The sequence below is a fragment of the Homo sapiens genome, chromosome 5 (assembly GCF_000001405.40).
Source record: "Homo sapiens chromosome 5, GRCh38.p14 Primary Assembly".
NCBI classification, from domain to species: domain Eukaryota; kingdom Metazoa; phylum Chordata; class Mammalia; order Primates; family Hominidae; genus Homo; species Homo sapiens.
This window is the reverse complement of record NC_000005.10, coordinates 72,702,807-72,724,343: the sequence shown is the minus strand read 5'-3', so window position 1 is coordinate 72,724,343 and position 21,537 is coordinate 72,702,807. Positions and strand designations below refer to the sequence as shown.

Genomic DNA, 21,537 nt, shown 5'->3' with positions numbered 1-21,537 from the left:
CTCAGCCCCTTCAGGATTCTCCCTGGGATATGACTGTGGGGAGCTCTGTCACTGGGAAAGGGTCACTATTTGCCAGCTGCTCGTGACTGAGTAGGTCCTTCTGCTTAATGATTTGGTGCTATATTAGAAGCTTATTGTTGCTCCACACCTAAAGACTGTTCTCCAAATAGCTTACCAGTAATAAAGCTGATGTTTTCTTCTCCACCTTTCTGGCTCCTTTGACTCTCTCAATTGGTTCTGTGCTTCAGTGAGGAGAAGGAAGGATGCAAAGTATTACAGTAGCTAAAAGAAAAGCATTTTTAAAGCCCAAACAATAAGCTGTCCGCTAAGATACTGAATGACCAGAAAGTCCAGAAAATGAGGAATACTGGTTCTGTAAAAGTTATGGCTAACTTAGGGTTAACTCAAATTTCCTTCTAAAATTCAATGAATTATTCTAAAATATGTATGAGTTCACCACTGATAGGCTGTTTTTTTTTTTTCCTTCTCACTTCCTCCTCCTCCAGACAGACTGGGACAAAGGATAAACACCTTTTTGCATAATGGCCTGCAGGAGATGCCCACAATATGATTAATCCAGGCAGTGCAGCAAGTCTGTTTACTTTGCATCTCTCACACCCTGAGAATGGACAGTGTAAGAACCTCTGTCTCTTCTCCCCTTCCTCTCTGCCTCCATCCCAAGATCCCAGCTTTAGAATGAAGCCTGGTGTCCTTCAGCAGGAGACACAATAGATTGAAAGGACTGATGACTAGTATACCAGAGGTCCTCGGTCTCCAACCTATTCAAAAGGCAGGCTGGAGTCCAAAGTCAAGAACTGTTTCATGCATTTTTCCAGGCTCTTGTTTTGTGCTCCATCATATTATGTCTATATAGGACATGGACTATATTGTATCCTCCTTTCCATGATTGAGTAGGTAAAGGATTGGAGTTATAGCGGCTTTTTCTTTCATTGATGACTCAGGATCTTGTAATGATTCAAGGTCATCAACAAGACTACCCGTGATTATCTCACAATAATATAACTGTGGCAGAGGTGACATTAACTCAAAGCAGAAGCATGCACTGACAGGTATGAGTGTACTCTAGGAACATTTTTATACCCACAGTATTAGTTTTCTATTGCTTTAACAAATCACCACAAATCTAGCAGCTTGAAACAACACAGATCTACTGTCTTACAATTCTGGCCTCTCACTGGGCTAAAATCAAGATGTGGTCAGGGTTGCTTTCCTTTCTGGAGGCTCCAGCGGAGATTCTGCTTTCTTGCCTTTTCCAGCTTCTAGAGGCCACTTGCGTTCTTGAGCTTTTCCTCCGTCTTCCAAGCCAGCAGTGGCAGGTGGAGTCTTTCACACATTGCATCATCCTGACCCTGACTCTCCTGCCTCCCTCTTTTACTTAGAAGGACCCTTGTGATCACATTGGGCCCACCCTGATAATCTCCAGGATAATCTCCCTATCTTAAGGTCTTTAGTTTAATCACATCTGCAAAGTCCCTTTTGCCATGCAATGGAACATATTCATAGGTTCCAGGGTTTGAGACATGGATGTTTTTGGCAGTGGGGGTGGGGGTGGGGATTTATTTTGCCCACCACAGCCACCATCAACAGAATGGGATTGTCATAGAAGATCTGGGTCACTGATGGTAAAGTAGTGAGAGATGAAAAATACTGTCCTTAGTAGGTGACCAGAAATATATTCTAAAAAATACTTTCTATATATATGGGTTTTCTTGTCACTTGCTTATTTTTCTTCTAAAAAATAGAGAGAGTTGCCTTGGATTTTTACTTTCTGTGCTGTGTCTCTACATTATAGTTCCAAAAATATGCTTAGTAAAACATTTTACCCTTGGAAGGCAGGATGATGACAGTAGAGGTGAGGTATTTCTTCTTCTTCTTTTTTTTTTTATTTGAGACGGAGTCTTGCTCTGCCACCCAGGCTGGAGTGCAGTGGTGCAATCTCGGCTCACTGCAACCTCTGCCTCCATGGTTCAAGCAATTCTCCTGCTTCAGCCTCCCGAGTAGCTGGGATTACAGGCAACTGCCACCACGCCCGGCTAATTTTTGTGTTTTTAGTAGAATTGGGGTTTCACTATGTTGGCCAGGCTGGTCTTGAACTCCTGACCTCAAGTGATCCACCTGCCTTGGCTGCCCAAACTACTGGGATTACAGCAAGATATTTATTCTTTTCTTTCTTACTTCTCTTCTTCTCACATTCCCTTCTCCATCTCTTCTCTCCTGCTTGCTCTTTTTCACAAGTATTTATCTGATGCCAACCATGTGCCAGGCACTGCATGAGTTACACTGTGCAGATACAGAGATGAAGAAGATATAATTCCCACTCTTAAAGAACTCACAGTTTATTGAGGTAGGCAGACATGGAAATAGCTGATTATTATAAACAGAGAGATAAAGGCTATGCCAGGCATCCATAGGGCGTAAGCAAGGAGAGAGCGAGAGACAGTGGTTTGTAGATCACTTGGCCTCTCAGGGCAGTCTTCTAAGAGGGGGAGTTACTGTTTTAGTTGCATTTTGAAGGACACAGATGTTATTCAGGCAGATAAGGTTGGTGGTGGTGGGGAGAAGGTGTGTGGGGCACGCAAATAAAGTACTTTCAGGAAATGTTTTCCTTTGTGCATGCGGATGGGAGACCCACGGTCTGGAAGAGGCAATGTGGGGCCTGAGATTGACGGTCCCATCTTGTCTGGCAGTACTCTGGTATGGGAGGATGTGGAATCTCCAGAGAGAGGCGCAGGAAGCATGTTTGCCAGGAGATAATCTAGGTACCAGTTAAGGCAATAGTTCTTTAGACTGGGTACACCCTGGAAACACCTAGGGATGTTAAACAAACAAAACCAAAACAACAGAACATCCACGCCAGGGCTAGACCCAGGCTAACTAAATCAGATTCTGCAGGGGCCAGGAGAACCAATGAGCTAAGACAGAGCAAAATATTTGAAAGTGTTGGGGAGCTTTTTAATTTTTTTCTCAAACACAGAGGAAAGGGTTAAGAGGGAGGGAAAAGAAGAAGGATAGGAGGTGAGCAGATGGGAGGGCAGATGAGTGGAAAAATGGCCTCAGAGGGCGACACATGTTCTCTGATCATGAGACTCCTAGCACTGAGACATGAAGAGAAGTAGACTTTGATGTAAACTTGTTTCTGTGCATTATAGATTGAAACAATCTGAAAAGTTCCTTCAGTGTTTGACAAGAAAGAGATCTAGAAGAACTGAGAAAGGCTGAGGAGGGAGGAGCCAGGCTGGTGTCCTCTTTGCTGGGGAGACCAGTTTAGCTTTTGCCTGTCTTATATTTCTATGTTTGGAAATAAAACAACAAACAATGTTCCATGCTCCCCTTTCCTGACTTGTTGACAATTTTCTGGCCTAGGTAATTTCTCTTTGACTTCCCTGTCTTTCACTGCATTCCTAAGGCTAATGTTCCTGACCTCACCAGTGCAGAGATCTCCCACACCCAAGTCACTTGTGTCCTGCTAATCTGAAAGCTGGGTCATTGTTCTCAGGTGACGAGAGAGAGAGAGAGAGAGAGAGAGAGAGAGAGAGAGAGAGAGAGGGATTAGAGTAGCTTTGTGCAGAGTAAGAATGTCATAATAAAGGAATTAGCCTTGAGATTAAGTTGAAGGTTGTCAAATCCTGGATGAGTTTCCTGAGAAGTCCGAAGATCTTTAGTAGAAAACGGAAAATGTACTAGGACAACAGAGAGAAGAAAATTCTAATTTTGTTTTGGGTTCTCATTCACTTATTGTAGTAAAACATAATGAACTAAAAAGCAATTAAAGCCCTCTGAATCAATACTTTTATCACTGTAAGTGGATTTTTCTCTTACTATGCTAAGAGTGTCCTTGTTCAGCACACGGAATTGGCATTGAAGTTGCCCAAGATCACATGCCTGCCAAGTTATGGAGCCAGAAGGTAAACGAGGCCTGTCAGACATCTAAGCTGGGGCTCTTAATCACTATACTACACTCCCTCCCATTCACTGCCCGGAAAGGGAGGATGTTCTAAGCAGGAAGAAAAGAATAAATAAAAACAGTGAGGCATGAAATCACAAGCTACATTCAAGAACTAAGGGGAAATTATTTTGCTAAGAGTAGAGAGATTACGTGTGAGAGAGAGATGGTTCAAAAGGTATGGTCGGGCTGGGCGCGGTGGCTCATGCCTGTAATCCCAGCACTTTGGGAGGCCGAGGCGGATGGATCACGAGGTCAGGAGATAGAGACCATCCTGGCTAACAGGGTGAAACTCCGTCTCTACTAAAAATACAAACAAACAAACAAACAAAAACCACACAATTAGTTGGGCGTGGTGGCGCGCGCCTGTAGTCCCCAGCTACTAAGGAGTCTGAGGCGGGAGAATGGCGTGAACCCGGGAGGCGGAGCTTGCAGTGAGTCGAGATTGCGCTACTGCACCCCAGCCTGGGCGACAGAGCGAGACTCATTCCCAGAAAAAAAAAAAAAAGGTATGGTGGGCTCAGTTTATAATGTCTCAATTGTAGTCTAAGGTATTACAATTCTTCTATAGGTATTTGAGAATCACCAAGAATTGGAAGCATGAATGTAATTGGCTTAAAGTGATGTTTTGAGATGATCGATTTGGAGCCAGGTGCAGGAGGGAATAGAAGAAATGAGGTTAGAGAGTCCAGCAATGCTATTGCTCAGTGGCTTGGGAGGGGCAAAATAGAGGCCTGGACTGGAGGTAATGGGAATGAAAAGGAGGAATCATCTCTGAAAGAATTGGTGAGGTGTGATGATTGATTTACTACTTAGACCAAAAAGAAAGAAGCCTCTAATAAAATGCTAACATGTACTGAGCACCGATGATGTGTCAGGCACTGTTCTACATACTTTCCAGGTATCAGTCGGTTCTCACAACAACCCTATTATACAGGTACTATCATTAGCATCTCCTGTTCCCAGGTGAGGAAACTAAGCGGGCCTCAGATCACATAGCTAGTAGCAGAGCCAGGATTCAGAGCCAAGCACCTTGGTTGCAGGCCCCATGCTCCTTACTCTCAGACACCCTGCACGTAACCATTGTGTCTCGTTCATCTCCACAGGCGTCCAGGCAAGCAGGGAGTACTTCCGCCTCACAGCTGTAAATTAGCTGTTGCCAACAAATAAGTGTCAGAATCATGACTTGAACCCAGATCTTCTAACTCTGTCTCCAGTGCCCTGGCCAAAACTTCATGCTCGAGACTACAAGGGAAAAAGAAAAAAGAAAGATTCATGAACCAAAATAGTGCACTGGGGGCAATGGAGAAGATATGATTTCAGGATTTAGGATGAAAAATCTGATTTTAAGCAACTTCAGGAGTATGCTTTTCTCATTTTATGTTCAGTAGAATTCCTGAGGCTGTGGTCTGTATAAAGGGGGAATCATTTCTTTTCTCAGCAAAAGAGAAGATTCTGAGAGCCGTCATGTAGGTTTACATTCTAGATGAGTCGGAAGGAAAGCGACACCTTTATCTAGGGGGAAAGGATGATTGATTCTAAATTGGGAAGAAAGGATTTAAGGAAGGGAGCCTACACTAAGAGAATATCCTAATACGGTTTTAAAAGCGTGTATCTTCTTCAGTTGTCCTGCAATGCCCTTTTAAGCTGGCTTACACATAAAGAAACCAGAAAGATGAATATATTACACATCATAAAATTAGAGGCTAATAAGCATAATAAGAAAATTATGTCCATTGCAAAATAGCCAACTAGAAACCAGGGGCTGCCAAGTGTTTTCTTTAAGTGCACAGGAATATTTTCCAGTCTAAGTGATATAATAAAGTCCTGCCTTGGTTATACTCAAATAACAAAATCCAGTATTGAATTTGGTGATATCTAAAGACCTAGATCCACTGTCCCTCCAGGGCCGGATGAAAGAAAAGAATTCTCTAAGGAGCTCAGTCTGAAGACATTCATACCAAGGCTAGTTCCCAATGTTCTTGTTGCTGAGTTTTATTTTAAATAAGTTTTATTTCAATGTAGTACAGTCTTTCTCTTGGTTTCCCAGTCTCTCTAGTCTCTCTGGGCAAGGCTGTGCTGCTAGAGACCTCTTAGAGGAATGCTAGACTGAGTGAGGCAATTCATTTCAGAGTGTGCTGGAGGCTGCCATCTGGGGACATAATCTCTCTGGTCTATTGTTTCCCGAAATCATCATTTATGATTAACATCTGCAGAGTACTTTCTGCCTTCCAAAATGTCAAGAGTTGATCAACTGAAAGAATAATACTATATCCTGGAGTAGGCCTTGTCAGTTTCCCTGATGAGGCCCCATCTCCTCTCTCTTGTATAAAAATGTATTATTTTTTCACAAGAAAGGGTTTAGGGGACATCTGCTTACATGGATCTGTCTAGGATCCACAGAATATTGTAACCAAGAGTCTTGGGCCAATAGAACACCTTAGACGTGCTTATTTTTTTCCAGCTATACAGATAAGGCAAGTTATGATATAATTGAGGACTCTAAAATAACACTGTGGTTCTTCTCTGAATGGTGCTTCCAACAGAGCTGGTTCAAGAAATCTCTTGGCTTCTGGGCATTTTATCTTCACTATTGAGAATCTCATCACCTTGAAGAAGTCAAGGCCATACAAAACAAAGAATTTTTAAAACACAGTTTCCTTCCATTTCCTTACTAATCCTTTGATATGAGCAGGCTAGCCCTACTGCTTTACAGGTGAAATTCAGAGAAATTAAGCTACTTACTTCAAAGATGCATACCCCAGAAATATGTTAAACTGAGCCTAGAACTAGGTTTTTTTGTTTTTGTTTTTGTTTTTTTGAGACGGGGTTTCGCTCTTGTTGCCCAGGCTGGAGTGCAATGGTGTGATCTCAGCTCACCGCAACCTCTGCTTCCTGGGTTCAAGTGATTCTCCTGCCTCAGCCTCCTGAGTAGATGGGATTACAGGCATGGGCCACCACTCTCGGCTCACGCTTGTAATCCTAGCACTTTGGGAAGCCAAGGTGGGGCGGGGGATCACCTGAGGTCAGGAGTTCGAGACCAACCTGATCGACATGGAGAAACCCCGTCTCTACAAAAAATACAAAATTAGCAGATCTAGGTTTCTTTACACTGCATTGTACTGCTGGAATCAAAGCACATACCTAACTCTGCAGCCTTAGTGCAGTTGGTGGTTTTCAGGGGACTTAGTAGTATTTGTTAGAGAGTCTCTTTGGGGTTCTGCAGGTCCTTCATTCGTGTAAGAATCTTTGATGTGCACCCCAGTACTTAGGGAAATACTGACTTACATGTCTCAGAGACTCATGAACTATTTCTTTTCCAAAATGCTCTTCTTCTCCTACCTGTCACTTCATGATTTGTTCTACCATCTTGCCATCCAAATCAACTGCAATTTCAACAAAAAGAGAAAAAACTATTATAAAAAGGACTGTGGAAGTAGTCAAAATTGGCTTCTTTTTTCTGCGTGGGCCTTTCCTCTGGCTCCTCACCTCCACTACAGATCGTACTCCTAACAACCTAAATCACTCACTTAACACTTGCATTTCTCTACCTTTTCTCTCTTCACTTAAGTAGGATTTTAATGCACTGAGAGGTAAAAACAGATTATGGAGAGGAGCTCAAATTCTGGATCTGCCACTGAAGTTTAAGCTGCATGTCTTTGTGCATACCCATTCTCTATCAGTGCTTTCTCCATCTTTAGGAAATTCTCTAATGGAAGACAGGGCCTAAAATTCCTAGAATGATAGGAAATGGGAGCTCCTGAGGGTCTTAGTCATTATTATATTCCTAGTGCTAGCACAATTACTTATACCTACTGGTGTTCAAAAAGTAATTCTGAATGAATGAATAGGGCCCTCCCAGAGCAGTTGGCAGGCCACATCTCAGTCTTTCACATTGCAGGGAACTGCAGGGAACAAGTATTTGTGAATGCTGTTGTGCAGGTGCTTTATATGTGTAATCTCATTTAATCCTCGTAATAGCTCCATGAAGTAGGTTTTATGAGCGCTGTGCTCCAGTGAGGGAAGAAAGGATCACAGATAGAGGTGAAGGAATGTGCTCAAGATCATAAGTCAGTGATAGGACTGGAATTGGAAGTTCATTCTGCCCATCTTTGGAGCCTGTGTTTTCTGATACACTGAGCTACTCCCAAAGGACATAGGTATTGTCTCTAGAAGTCACCTTATTTTATTTCACTCTCCTCCACCCCTTCAGAAGGAACCTTGAATACCACTATATTCAAATATTTAAACGTTTTCTCTTGGGCTCGGTTCAAAGTTTTCTTTTTTCCCCTTGGCTGTTTGTCTACTTTCTCACCTATGATGTAAGTATTTCACAAAATGCTCCTGAAGTTAAAACCCAATATAACAATATCAGGAGCAAACTTAGAGAAAAGATGTCACATGACTTAAGAGAGCTATATTTAGCAATGTTTATAATACTGTAAAAATATTTTTGTGGAATAGCTCTTACTACAGAAGTTTTTAAAATACTTAATCAAGAGTTGAGGTTATTACTGATTCTCTAGCATGCAAGCAACCTCCACCTTTTGTAATTGTTAGTCCCCTCCATGGTGAAGTGACTCCATGGCTGAGCTGGGTCTGCTGTGCATCCAGACCCTCAGACATCCTCAGGTGTTAGATCTGCCACAGGAAGCAATGAGATGTGAGATGTGTCGGCTTTATGTCTGAAGATGTCTTGTGCCATGACAAAATTTAACTGGTCCAATATTACTTAACCATACATACTTTGGAGTAGTCAATAAAGATTCCAAATGGGTTCAGAAACCCGGGAACAGGAATGAGCAACCTAAAGCTCTGGAAGTATTTTCATGACAAAATGTTAGAAGCTAAATGTTATGACATTTACCTAATTTTGCTTCATATTATACATGTTTTGTCTTTTCTACTAGACTGTAAGTGACTTGATAAAAAGAATGTTTTTGTATTCCTCCACTGCTCTTATCACAGTGCCTTTTAAAGAATATTTTTTCAATAAACATGTATTTTTCCTATTTATTTTCCTATTTCATATATTACACCTTGCTAAATGCTTCATTGTTTCATTTTGGCCCTCATCAGCAATGTGAGGAAGGTATTTTTTCCCTTAAATTAGTGGTTTCATGGTTATCCCTGTCAGTATATTTACCTTTTCCTATTTCTTATTCTTATTTCTTTTATTTCTATTTCCTATTTCTTATGGAAAACGGGATAACTCTTTTATCTTTCCTAAGTAGCCAACATAAACTCATATTTTTCCGAAATAGTTGATTTCTATAGAATCCACTAGCCTGTTAGAACCAAGGTAATTCTTCTACTTAGAGTAATAAGATAAGGTTCTGGAAGGAAAAGATATTATGCGGATCTCAATTTTCTTAGCTGTGAAGTAAATAAAAAATAAATATGGACTCATGATGCCCTGAATTAATAGAAAAATAATTTCCTGGAGACCAGGAGAAAGTGTTCCTTAGGGGAGATGACCACCTTCTTCTTGGAGCAGCTCCTGCTGGTGTAAGGAATGGCCATGGTCTGCAGACACAGTAACCTTTGGTAATGAGATCACATCAATTTTTTTTTAACTGAGCAAAAATCACTGAAGTTGTTGAGTAATTCATGTAAACAAAGAGGAACAAATTATTGAGTGCCTACTATGTGCTAAGCGCCCTGCTAAATGCTTCATTGTTTCATTTTGGCCTCTCAGCAGCAATGTGAGAAAGATATTATTTTCCACAAATTAGTGGTTTCATGGTTATCCCTATAATTATGTTCACTCACTTGTATTCTGATATACTTCCTCGAATAAGAAAAAAATAGGGTAGGGCTCCAGGTTTTCCGCAAGAAGTTGCCCAGAAGTTCAGACACTCACATGGGATTGTGCTGGCCATGGCAATGCCATCTATGTATGTCTCGGTGGAAAGAAAAAAAGATTGAGAATGGCTGGACTGTAACTTGAAATGTAACCCTGGGCAGAATCACTGGGGTTTCCTATCACTGGGGAAATAGTAGGTGGCTCATTCATACATATTTTTATTTTTAAAGTTGTATTATTAATTTAAGGTATAAGTGAACATCACATCCTCAAGTTATAATTTCTCACATGTTATGACTTAGGACAAGTATAAACAAAAACCCAGGATGATTTACTTACAGACAATGTAGAGGCGAATATTAAGTAATTAATGGTGATATGAATGGATGATATGCAGATATGACAAAATCTTGGAGATGACATGTGATTGACTGGCATTTGGAAAACCAGGGTGCTGCCTGGTCTGAGGTCTGGAGCTCTGTGTCAATCTTTATTGAGTAGCACTCACTCACCTTCTAGGACCCAAAGAATCTTCTCTGGGTGACTTTAGGCACTCCAGATTGGAGTGTTCAAGAGTGGAATAAAGTTGAATCTGAGTCAGACAATCAGTACCCTAATATGTCAGTTCTCCCTTCTAAATATTGGCAGAGAACAAATTTATTTTATAAATTTGTATATATCTATCTATAGAGAGAGATGGGGGGAAGGAAAAGAGAGATTTGTTATAGGAATTGGCTCATGCCATTTTGGAGGCTGGGAAGTTCTGTAAGCTGGTGTCTGCAAGCTGGAGAACCAGGAGAGCTGGTGTTGTAACTTAGTACAGATCCAAAGGCCTGAGAACTAGGGGAGCAGATGGTATAACTCCCAGTGGGAGTCCAAGGGTCTGAGAATTGGGGGCAGGGGATGAAGAGGGGAAAGTGGGTAGGGAGGGAGCTGCTAGTGTAAGCTCTGAGCTCTGAAGAGCCTAGAATCAGGAGCTTTGATGTCCAAGGACAGGAGAAGATGGATGTTCAGCTCAAACAGAGGGAGTGAATTCACCCTTCCTCCTCCTTTTTGTTCAATTTGGGCCCTCAACAGATTGGATGGTGCCTACATGCATTGGTGAGGGTGGATCTTCTTTATTCAGCCCATGGATTCAAACATTAATCTCTTTTGGAAACACCCTCACAGACACACCCAGAACTAATGTCTCACCAGTCTTCTGGGCATCCTTTAGCCCAGTCAAACTGACACATAAAAACCGTCACATGGGTGAAACTCAAGGACTCTTATCAACCGGCTTTCTGTGGAAGAGACAGAAAACAATCTGTTTTTCTTTGACATTGGTGAGGCTTCCTTGACCCTTGCTTTATTTTATTGTAGTGGTTTTCTTCACTTCTCAGAATGGAAAATAGTCCAGGGACAGTTTATCAAGTACTATCTATGTGCCAGACAGTGCTGACTAGAGAAATGACAGAATCATGCCCCTGAAAAGCTAAGTAAAACATTTTTAAGGGGATCTCGGGATACTGATCAGGGAGATGCAATACATTAAAGATGCTGATTCAGGACAGGTAAGCCCAGTAAATAACAAAGACTTCTAAGAAAATCTCTGTGTATTATACTGTGGTGAAGAGGGAATTGGATTCGAGAAAATTCAACACAGAATCATAGCTGCGTATGGATGGATGCATTTGTGAAAGCTCAGGTATCCGAGGTATCCAGGTTTGCCCTTAAGCCACTACTAAAAGATAGTAGTTACCCTTATTTCTTAATATCTTCAAAGATGGGATTTCCACATTTTCCCCACAATGCTTATACCCAGGCTATTTTCTAATGTCTATCCTAAATCCCTCCTCTTGAAAGTTAAGCCTGTCCTTTCTTGGGGAATGGTTGTCTCATGTTTCTTTCAATATCATGAATGATTGAAAAGAACTTCTTATGAATCTGCCCTCCCTGTCCATCTATATTCCATTCCAAATTCTACTGTTCTCAGCACCTCTGGCCATGAATGCTATCATCCTGTTTTTTCCTTCTTGTATTTTTTTTCTACCCCCAGATAATTGCACCATTACTTTTAGTGTTTCCTTCAAACTATATAAACATAAATTTCTTTTGGCTTGTCATGCCTCCTCCCATATTTCAAATCTCTAATGTTTCACATTCTCCCTTTTTGCATTTTTTATTCTTCTTCAAATTTCTCTTCTCTTATAAACTCTAAATTTTAATTTTATTTAAGGTCCACATCTTTTTATCTCTTAGCTGGATTTAAATTCCTTCTTAGAATCAGTATTGCCTCTTTCATTCCAAGCCTCAGAGTGTATTTAGGCATTTTCATTTCTCTCTCTCTAGAGATATCTTTGGGCTGAAGCTTGATGAGAGGAGTCTGCTTCATGGAGATCTGTAGAGATGGGCTGAGAAGGAAGTGAAAATGCTTTCATGTGCCCACTGCAGTTGGTGCATCCCATTAGGGGCAGTTATTGGGAGGTACATACTTCTTAAGGGAGTCTCAGATTATTTCTTACCTCTGGACCAGAAGAAACATGGACAATGGTCACCTCTCATATGTATGTACCATCGTACATACAAGACAAGGGAGCCCACCGGTTTAAATTGTGCTTTGCTGTGTTCTGAGCGTTATCACTACATTATTCAGTGTGTGAGAATTTGAGGGAAAAAATTATACTTCCACTGTTTTGAATGCTTTTCTGGGCCATAATTTCCAGGACCTGGATCTTTAGGGGTGTATTACTGTTATTGCAAGAAGGGAGGGAGCAGATGGAAAATAAATATACTCAAGGGCTCAGAGGCTATTACTGATGCTGGAGGCAGGTAGTCAGGCAACAGGAAGTAAATACAGTGAAACAGTGGGAAAAAGACATTTACCTTTGGTCTCTTGAGCTGCACGAGTCAGGAGCTAGGGGATGATTAGTCCCAGGGCTTCTGCATGGGGCAGCCTTAACAGGTGGTTCATAGAATATTCTACTAGTATAGCAATTGACTCTGAGCAGCTGCATCTTATAGACCTAAAAATAGCCCCAAAATGAGATTTCTGAGACCCCAGAGCTGCATACGGCAGAGCTGGTGACAGTAATGACAGCTGGGCATCAGTGATATGGAACAGCTCTTTGCAAAGCTCCTTCCATGCCCATTGTTGGAAAGAACCTGGTAACAACCCTGTGAGGGACAAGGGCAAATGTCACTAAGACTCTGTTGTGCAGATGAAGAAACTGAGGCTGAAGGAGCTTAAATAAATTGTCCAAAGCCACGTACTTAGTTTTAATGTTACCCCATGCTTCCCAGGGCATAACAGCTTCAGGGTAGAATTGGATCCTAATAACATTTTCTAAGCAGTATTTCTTTTATTGCTATTCACCAACTTTTGGGAATTCCAGATCTCCTAAAATTCCTTCATAATAATAACATTAATAATGGTAATTGCATTTAAAATTAGCTATTATTGTTTAAGCATTTACCACATGCTCTTTAAACCTCACAAAAATCCTAACACCTCACAGTGTTATTGTTACCCCTACTTAAAATATATATATATATATAAAAAGGTTCAGAGAAGTTTAATAATTTCCTGAGATAATACAGCTAGTGAGCAGCTGGTCTAAGATCATAACCACCGGATATATAGTTCCAGAGTCACGTATTTGCATTAGGACATATTCAGGTACTCATTTAGGGAGTCCCCAGGGATGTTCCTGTGTGCTAATAAGCACAGCCCTCCTGGCAACAACAGCCTTTCCTCCTTTCCCGTGTGTGGCACATTGGGTCTGCTCTGACTCTTGGCCTTGGTGGATGTGGGTCTGGGTCTCTGTTCATGGTGGCTCTGGCTGCTTCATCTCTCTCCCCATTTCTATTCCCTGTTAAAGTGGCAGTAGTCACTTCAGTGAAGGAGGACCCAGTGTAAACTACTTCTCCAAGAATCACAGCCTGATGCTCTGGTTTCTTAAAGAGATGTCAGCAGTAAATACCTTTTTACCTTTTTATGTATCTCTTCTTCCTAAGAACTTGGGCATGAACACAGAGGGGCAGGGCAGAAGGGCATGCTCTTTGATCTGTGAAAAATTGCTCTTCTCTTTCAACTGCTACTTCTCAACTTTACACAAATCATGTTGCCCCCTCATCTCTTTCATGCCTAAGCACACTTTCTTACCTTTCACCTACATAGGGCCCAGGGGGCCATTCAGATGTGAGCAAGACAGTCTGACCTGTCAGAATTAATATTTCCTTTGGGGTCTTAAACTGGAAGACCCATTATCCCCACTGTTACAATCATTGCTTATTATACATGTCTTAAAACCTCTCCTACTAAGTTGTGGATGTGAGGGTTTTTTTTGTTTTTGTTTTTGTTTTTGAGATAGAGTTTCTCTCTTGTTGCCCAGGCTGGAATGCAAAGCTGCGATCTCAGCTCACTGCCACCGAATGTGAGGATTTTTTTGGGGCAACACATCTTTGCATTTCCATACACAGCAGGGTGCTTAATATGTAGTTTATGATATGAATGAAAATATGAATGAATGCATGTAGGTAAACAACATTAAGTAGTGTAGTTACTGTTGATTTTAGATTATATTTCTATCAGAATATTAAATTAAACCTTGGCTTGTACTCATTGGAAAGAATTTACATTTTTATTAAAAAAGAATGTTAAAATAAACCCAACTCATTTCTGCCACAGGGTATTTGTACTTTCTATTTCCTTTCGCCGAATACTCTTCGCTGAATTTTGCATGGCTTCCTTTCTCATTTCTCTTAAATCCAATGTAACCTTCTTATAGAGGCTGTCCATGATAGCTCCATTTAAAATATTATCTACAGACGTTCTTTACTCTTTTACTCTGATCTATTTTTCCTTAACAGAGCTGTTGAATGTTTTCTTATTGTGGGTAAAATAAAGTTCCATGAAGATTGAGATCCTTGTCTTATTTCCTGCTCTATCTCTAGGACCTTGAATAGTCACTGACACGTAAGTAGTGATGGTGGCAGTGGCCCATCTGGAGCAGCTGCTGTGGGAATGCCAACTGCAGCAGGGGAGGCATAGTTGGGGCTGTACACTCCATGGAGCTGGCAGGGCCTGGGAACAGGCAGCAGCCTTGCCCCCTACTGAGTTGGTGGGATGGGAGCCCTGTGATCCTGGGCAGGGCTGCAGCTGCCCAGCCATGGCTCCAGATCCAGGCATCCCTGCACTCTAGGGAGCCCAGGAAGCTCTCCTTCTCCACAGGCTCAGAAGTGCCCACTCCTGCTCCCTGGCCTCTCCCTGCTCCTGGTGCCCGCTCCAATTTCAGAGCAAAGTTGAAGCCAAGCCCAGGCATTGTTGCAACCAGCCCTCACACTGCCTCAGCCCCCTCTGAAACTTTGGGCACCAGTGAGCTCAGGGAGGGAGGCTGGGGGCTGCTGAGGGCAGTTTGGTGCAGGCCTGTAGGTGCCCCTTGGTGCAAGCAGTCTGGGCACCATGGAGAGCATGTTGATAGTTGCAGGAGGCAGACAGATTTCTAGGAGGGAAGGGGTGGGTCCCTGGTGAAGATCCACCTTCGAGCCAGGGATGACCTGCAGCCTTGGGGCCAGGCTGCCAGTTCCAGGTGGGGTCCGTGACCCAGGACGAGAACTTATGGTGCATTTTCCAGGCCTGCCCATGGCCACCTATGGTCCATTCAATATGCACTTCCTCCCTTCTGAGCCCATAAAAATCCCAGACTCAGTCAGACTTGCACACTCATTGGGATTACCTGCCTGCTGAAAGGACCTACCCACTGCAGGTCTCCTCTCCGTTGAGAGCTGGACAACCTGTCTGCAGAAAGGAGCCACTCACTTCAGGTCTCCCGCAAGCTGTTCTGTTACTCAGTAAAGTTCTCGCTGCCTTGCTCACCCTCCAGTTATCTGTATACCTCATTCTTCTTGGATGAGGGACAAGAACTTGGGACCCACTGAAAGGTGAGATTGAAAGAGCTGTAACACAAACAGGGCTGAAACATGCTCCCTATTCACCACCTTGCAGGTGATGAGAAGGAGAGAAGAGCTGCCACCTTTCTGGGAGCCTAGAACTTGGAGCTCCCCAAGCCAGGGCCGTGGCATGCTGTAACACCCTCTTTGGGGCTCTGCAGTTCCTGGTGTCTTTGAGTTTTCTGGCACCATTGCGTTCTCCATGTCCAGATGCTGGTGCCCACAGCGGAAGCTGCTTGCAGTATGTCTGGTCCAGCTGTAGCTTTACATGGAGCCAGCACCTGTGCTGGCAGCTAGAGCTGCCTGCCCTGCTATAGCTGGTACACCTGGCTGTACACAGTGGCCAGACCCTGCACTCACTCACTCACACACCTCTCACTGCTCTGCAGCTGGCTCCCCCTTGGCAGGTATGGGATCTGGGCCAGTAGCGCAAGCTGAGTGCAGGTGCTGGACTGAGTGGGCAGAATGAGCCAGCGGGCACAAGCAAAACCCAAGTAGAGGCACTGCTGGCCACAGAGATTTCCAGTTGGTGAAGCGACACCCTAAGGACCCTGTGACAATAGGAGCTCAATAAATTGTACTGAGTCAATGAATTAAGCCAAGAAAGGCTCCCTAAAGGGGTGTGTGCCCACATGCAGAGGTTTCCTTAGTTTTTGTTAGATGCCACTCTAGTGAAGACATTCAAAGTTCAACAGTTTGGTAACATCTAAAATGTCGACTCCTCAAAAAAGTTAATTGTTTATTGATCTCTTGTTATTGCTCCTTGAAAATGTGTATCTAGACCTATACAACTCTTAGTTCAGAGTCCATTATTTCCTAGTATTTACAGCTGGACAGTCTCATGATGAACAACAGCTTATATGAAAACCTGGTTTTATCTGCCAAAATTGAAAAATAAGTAGACTTGAGTGCAGTGTAGATTTTAAAAATACATTTATACTAAAAAAACAAACTATTTTGCTGACATTAAAATATTTGACAAATTTTGGACCTTTGCTTCTGGTCATGATGAAGTAATAATGATTAGATTTGCTCTCTTGCCTGAAATAAGTAAAAAATAGGACAAAGTATATGAAACAATGGTTCTCAGGATATTGGACATCAGATCGGCACAACAGTGACCTTTGAGAGACGGTAAACAAGCAAGGCGAACCCTACAGTTGCCCCAGCTTACTGTCTTGAGACAGTGTCTAGGCTGTGGGACAGGGAGAAAATCCAGAACAGAGCTTGGCAACCTCCCTGAGTCTAGGGGCTGGAGCTGGAAGTCCAGGTAAGTTAAGCCAAGTGGTTAGAGTTCAAGGACAGAGTACCAGAGAAAGAGAGATGCACAGAGAACTCAAGAGACATGCATAGGGTCCCCTCAAGCATTCAGCTGAGTACTGATCAGCTCATGCATATGTAAAACCCAACTGGGCTCTGGGAATAACCACTCAGAATGATTAGAGGGAGCAACCTCTCGGGCTCACATGGCACAGGGAATAGTGCCTGCTCCCACCAGCGGTGGTGGAAAATGTCATAATTCACAGGGTATCCAGTGAAATATTAAGAAGTATTTTCTCTCAGTAGCACAGCAAAATTAGCTGTATCCTAAATGCTACTCTGGTCCTGCCTGACAAAGCCTGAAAGCAAGACTTGAAGTTTCCAAGTAACTTAACCATGTCCCAGATTGTGATAAATATGAAATACAACCTGCAATTAGGTAAAAAGAAAAAAAAAATCTGTCAGTAGAAACTGACCCCAAACTGACACAAATGTTAGAAATGCTAGACAAAGACATTAAAACAGCAATAACTATATCTGTTCAAGAAGCTAAAGGAAAGGTTGAACATGTTAAGTAGAGATATGAAAGATATTTTTAAAAGACCCAAATTGAACTTCTAGAGATTAAAGCAACAATAAGACCAAAAGCACACTAAATTGTGTTAGTGGCAGATTAGACATTACAGAAGAAAAGACTAGGAAACTTGAAGGCATATCAGCAGAAACTATAATTGACAGGTTCAACAGTCATATCTCAAAAATTGCTAGAATAAGTAGACTAAAATTCAGTAAGAATATAGAAGACTTAACTAATACTATCAACCAACTTGACCTTTTTGATATTTCTAGAACATTCCACTTCATGACAGCAAAATACACATTCTTTCAAGTGTACACAGAACATTCACCAAGGCAGGGCATATTTTAGACCACATAACAAATCTCAATACGTTTAAAATAATTCAAGTCACACACATTATGCTCTTTGACCACAAGTGACTGAAATTAGAAAGCAACTGAAAGATATCTGTAAAATCCCCAAACATTTGGAAGATAAAGAAACATTTCTAAATACACTGTGAGTCCAAGAAGAAATTAATAGAGAAATTAGAAAGTATTTTGAACTGAAGGAAATGAAAATATAACATATCAAAATTTGTGGCATACAGCTTAAGCAGGACTTAGAGAAAAAAATACAGTGCTATATAACTGTGTTAGAACAGAAAAAAGTTCTCAAATCAATGACCTTAGCTTCCACCTTAAGAAAGCTGTAAAAGAAGAGCAAATAAAATACAGATAGGCAGAATAAGGAAACAATAATTATCAGAGCACCATTGAATGACACAGAAGACAAAAATAATAGAAAAAAGTTAATGAAACCAAAAGCTTATTGAAAGGTCAATAAAATGGATAAACCTCTAGCCAGACTGATTAGGATTGAGAGGTGGCGTCACTACAGATTACAGGGATATTAAAAGGATAATAAGGGAATACCATGAACAACTTCTTGCCAATAAATTCAACAATATAGATGAAATGGACAAATTCCTTGAAAGATACAAATTACTAAAGCTCATTCAAGAAGAAATAGATAACCTAAATATCCCTATATCTACAAAGTTTGAGTTTGTAGTGAAAAACATCCCGCAAAGAAAAATTCAGTACCAGATAACTTCAATGGTAAATCCTACCAAACATTTAAGAAAGAAACAATACGAATTTTCACAAACTCTTCCAGAAAATTGGAAAGGAGAAAGTACTTTCCAGCTCATTTCATGAAACTAGAATTGCATTGATACCAAAACCTGACAAAAACATTACAAGGAAAAAAAAATCACAAATCTGGAGCCTGGCTCTGGCCAAAATTCTATGTATGATCTTTTAGGCCTGACCAAGGTAATTACAAAGGTTTTATCTAGCAGGTCTCATGGGGAAAGCTGCCCTGCCAACACCAGACTTGCACTGAAGTTTCTGAAGGGAGTTGCAGTCCAGGACTCAGGCCCCTTGGCTAGCCACTTGGAGAGGCCTTTGGTTGGGACATCGCTGCCAAGACCTCCCTCCTCATTGGAAAGTGGAGTTGGGGAGGATTTGAAGACACTTTTCTCCACTCTGACTCAGTACTCAGTACTTTTCTACTCTGGTCCTTCCCCTTTACCCTCCCTCCCCACCCTCTGGGTCCCATAGAATGGTAGGAGCCTTTTATATGGCGAGCCCTTGACCGTGAGACAATGTCCCTCAGTCTATGCTGAGACATCTGACCCCAACTGGATGTCATTCTATAGGGCAAAAAGGGGACATTGAGGGAACCAGCACTTTCTCCTGTTTGGCCTCTGGCTTATACTATTGCAGTAAGTGATTCAGTTAGGGGTGTCTAATCTTTTGGCTTCCCTGGGCCACATTGGAAGAAGAATTGTCTTGGACCACACATAAAATACACTGACACTAATGACAGCTGATGAGCTAAAAAAAAAAAAAAGCAAGAAAATGTCATCATGTTTTAAGAAAGTTTACAAGTTTTGTTGGGCCATATTCAAAGCCATCCTGGGCCACACACAGCCTGTGGGCCATGGATTGGACAAGCTTGGATTCAAGGCTTCAATGTTATTTTCATCTTGGTTTGTCTTAATGGCTACTCTGACATCCAGAAGCTAAGCACTCTCCAACTCAGTTCAACTCTTGACAAAACCAATATTCTTCATGAAATATAGAAAATCAAACCCTACAATATATAAAAAGAATATGTATCATTACCAAGAGAGGTTTATCCCAGGAATGCAAGATTGGTTTAACATTTGAAAATTAATGAAAATAATTCACCATATTAAAACAAATTTAAAAATAATAATCATATGATCATCTCAAAAGATGCAGAAAGAGCATTTGACAAAGTCTAATAACCATTCCTGATTAAAAAAATAATCTTAGCAAACTAGGAATAGAAGAGAAACATCCTCATTTTGATTAAGGACATTTATGAAAAACAAAACTAACATCATACTTAAAATGCTTTCTTCCTGAGATAGAAACAAAACAAGGTTATCTGTTATCATACTTCTATTGAACTGGAGGTTGTAGTCCATTCAGTAAAGCAAGAAAAAAAATAAAAAGCGTCTAGATTAGAACAGAAGTAGTAAATTAGTTTTTATTCATAGATCATCTATGTGGACAATTTTATGGACTCTACAAAAAAGTCACTAGAATGAATAAGTAAGTTAGCAAGTTTGCAGGATACAAGATCAATATACAATTAAAATTGCATTTATATTTACTAGCAACAAATAATGTGGAATTAAAATTTTAAAATAATATTATTTATAATAGAATTAAAATCATGAAAATCATGAAATATTTAGGGATAAATCTGACAAAAGATGTGCAAGACCTGTGCGCTGAAAACTATAAAATATTGGTGAGAGGGATTAAAGAAGACCTAAACAAACAGAGAGAGATAATGTCTTCATGGATCAGAGACTCAGTATTTTAGAAATTTCAATTGTCTCCAAATTGATTGATAGATTCAATGCAATCTATCAATCTAAATTCCAGAAAATTTTATGTAGAAATTGATAAGCTGATTCTAAAAGTTATATGAAAATGCAAACAGCCAAAGAACTTTAGAAAGGAGAAAGTAGAAGGCTAACACTACCTTATAAGATTTTAGTCTTATAGTAATCAAGGTCAGTATGGTACTGGCATAAAAATAGACAAATAGATCAGCAGAACAGAATATAGAGTCCAGAAATAGAACTACACATATGGGGTCAACCTGATTTTGACTAAATAGCAGAGACAATTCAAGGAGGAAAGATACTCATTTCAAAAAATGGTGGTGTTACAATGGGATATGAAAGAACCCCTGATATTATACACAAAAATTAACTCAAAAGGGATCACGGACCTAAATGTAAAACCTGAAACTAAAAACTCTTACTGTCACTGAACTGAACTGGGTCCATTTGCCAGTACACAATTGAAAGCCAAACACTGAAGCGCTAGGTTTTTGTACAGAGAAAAGTTTGTGGCAAGGCTGTTGAGCAAAGAGATCAGTGCCTGACTCAAATCTGGAGCTGGGGTTCAGGGCAGATTTTATAGTCAGAGGATAATGAGGCATGATGTGATTGGATCTTGCAATGAGGTGATGCTGGGAGGTCTAATTTGACTGGCTTCTACAATGGGGTGACACCAGGGCTTGATCTGATTGAATCCTTGATCCTGCCATTTGCCTTCTGCATCTTAATTTGGCCCCTGTTTCTTGGTCCAAGCACTTATGTTCTGCTCATCGCTGCATGCTTGGTTCATCTGGGTATGCTCAGGTTACATGACCTTCAGCCTGGGGGCGGTCTGTGGCAACTGAAAAACAACTCAGCTTTGTTACATAAAAGTTGAACCAGATTGATTTGGTGATTAAGAAAACATGGGGAGAAAACTCTTTCTGGCCTTAAATTAGGCCCTTCCCTTCCCTCCCCTTCCCTCCCCGTCCCTCCCCTCACGTCCCCTCCCCTCCCTTCCCTTCCTTTCCCTTCCCTTTTTTTTGAGACAGGTCTCAGTCTGTCACCCAGACTAGAGTGCAGTGGTG

The 21,537-nt window shown here is 41.3% G+C and overlaps 1 long non-coding RNA gene across 16 annotated transcripts in view, besides 2 other annotated features; it reads left to right on the top strand.

Moving 5' to 3' along the window:
- TNPO1-DT (TNPO1 divergent transcript) overlaps window positions 1–21,537 on the top strand; it is a 245,434-nt gene that overhangs the window by 92,205 nt on the left and 131,692 nt on the right. The window lies entirely within an intron of this gene.
- Window positions 14,539–15,038: an enhancer, noted in NCBI's record as "H3K4me1 hESC enhancer chr5:72005133-72005632 (GRCh37/hg19 assembly coordinates)". NCBI's record gives its function as "activates a minimal SCP1, AML or CMV promoter by ChIP-STARR-seq in naive H9 embryonic stem cells {active_cell/tissue: H9 hESC(naive)}" and the evidence as "EXISTENCE:reporter gene assay evidence [ECO:0000049][PMID:30033119]".
- Window positions 15,039–15,540: an enhancer, noted in NCBI's record as "H3K4me1 hESC enhancer chr5:72004631-72005132 (GRCh37/hg19 assembly coordinates)". NCBI's record gives its function as "activates a minimal SCP1, AML or CMV promoter by ChIP-STARR-seq in naive H9 embryonic stem cells {active_cell/tissue: H9 hESC(naive)}" and the evidence as "EXISTENCE:reporter gene assay evidence [ECO:0000049][PMID:30033119]".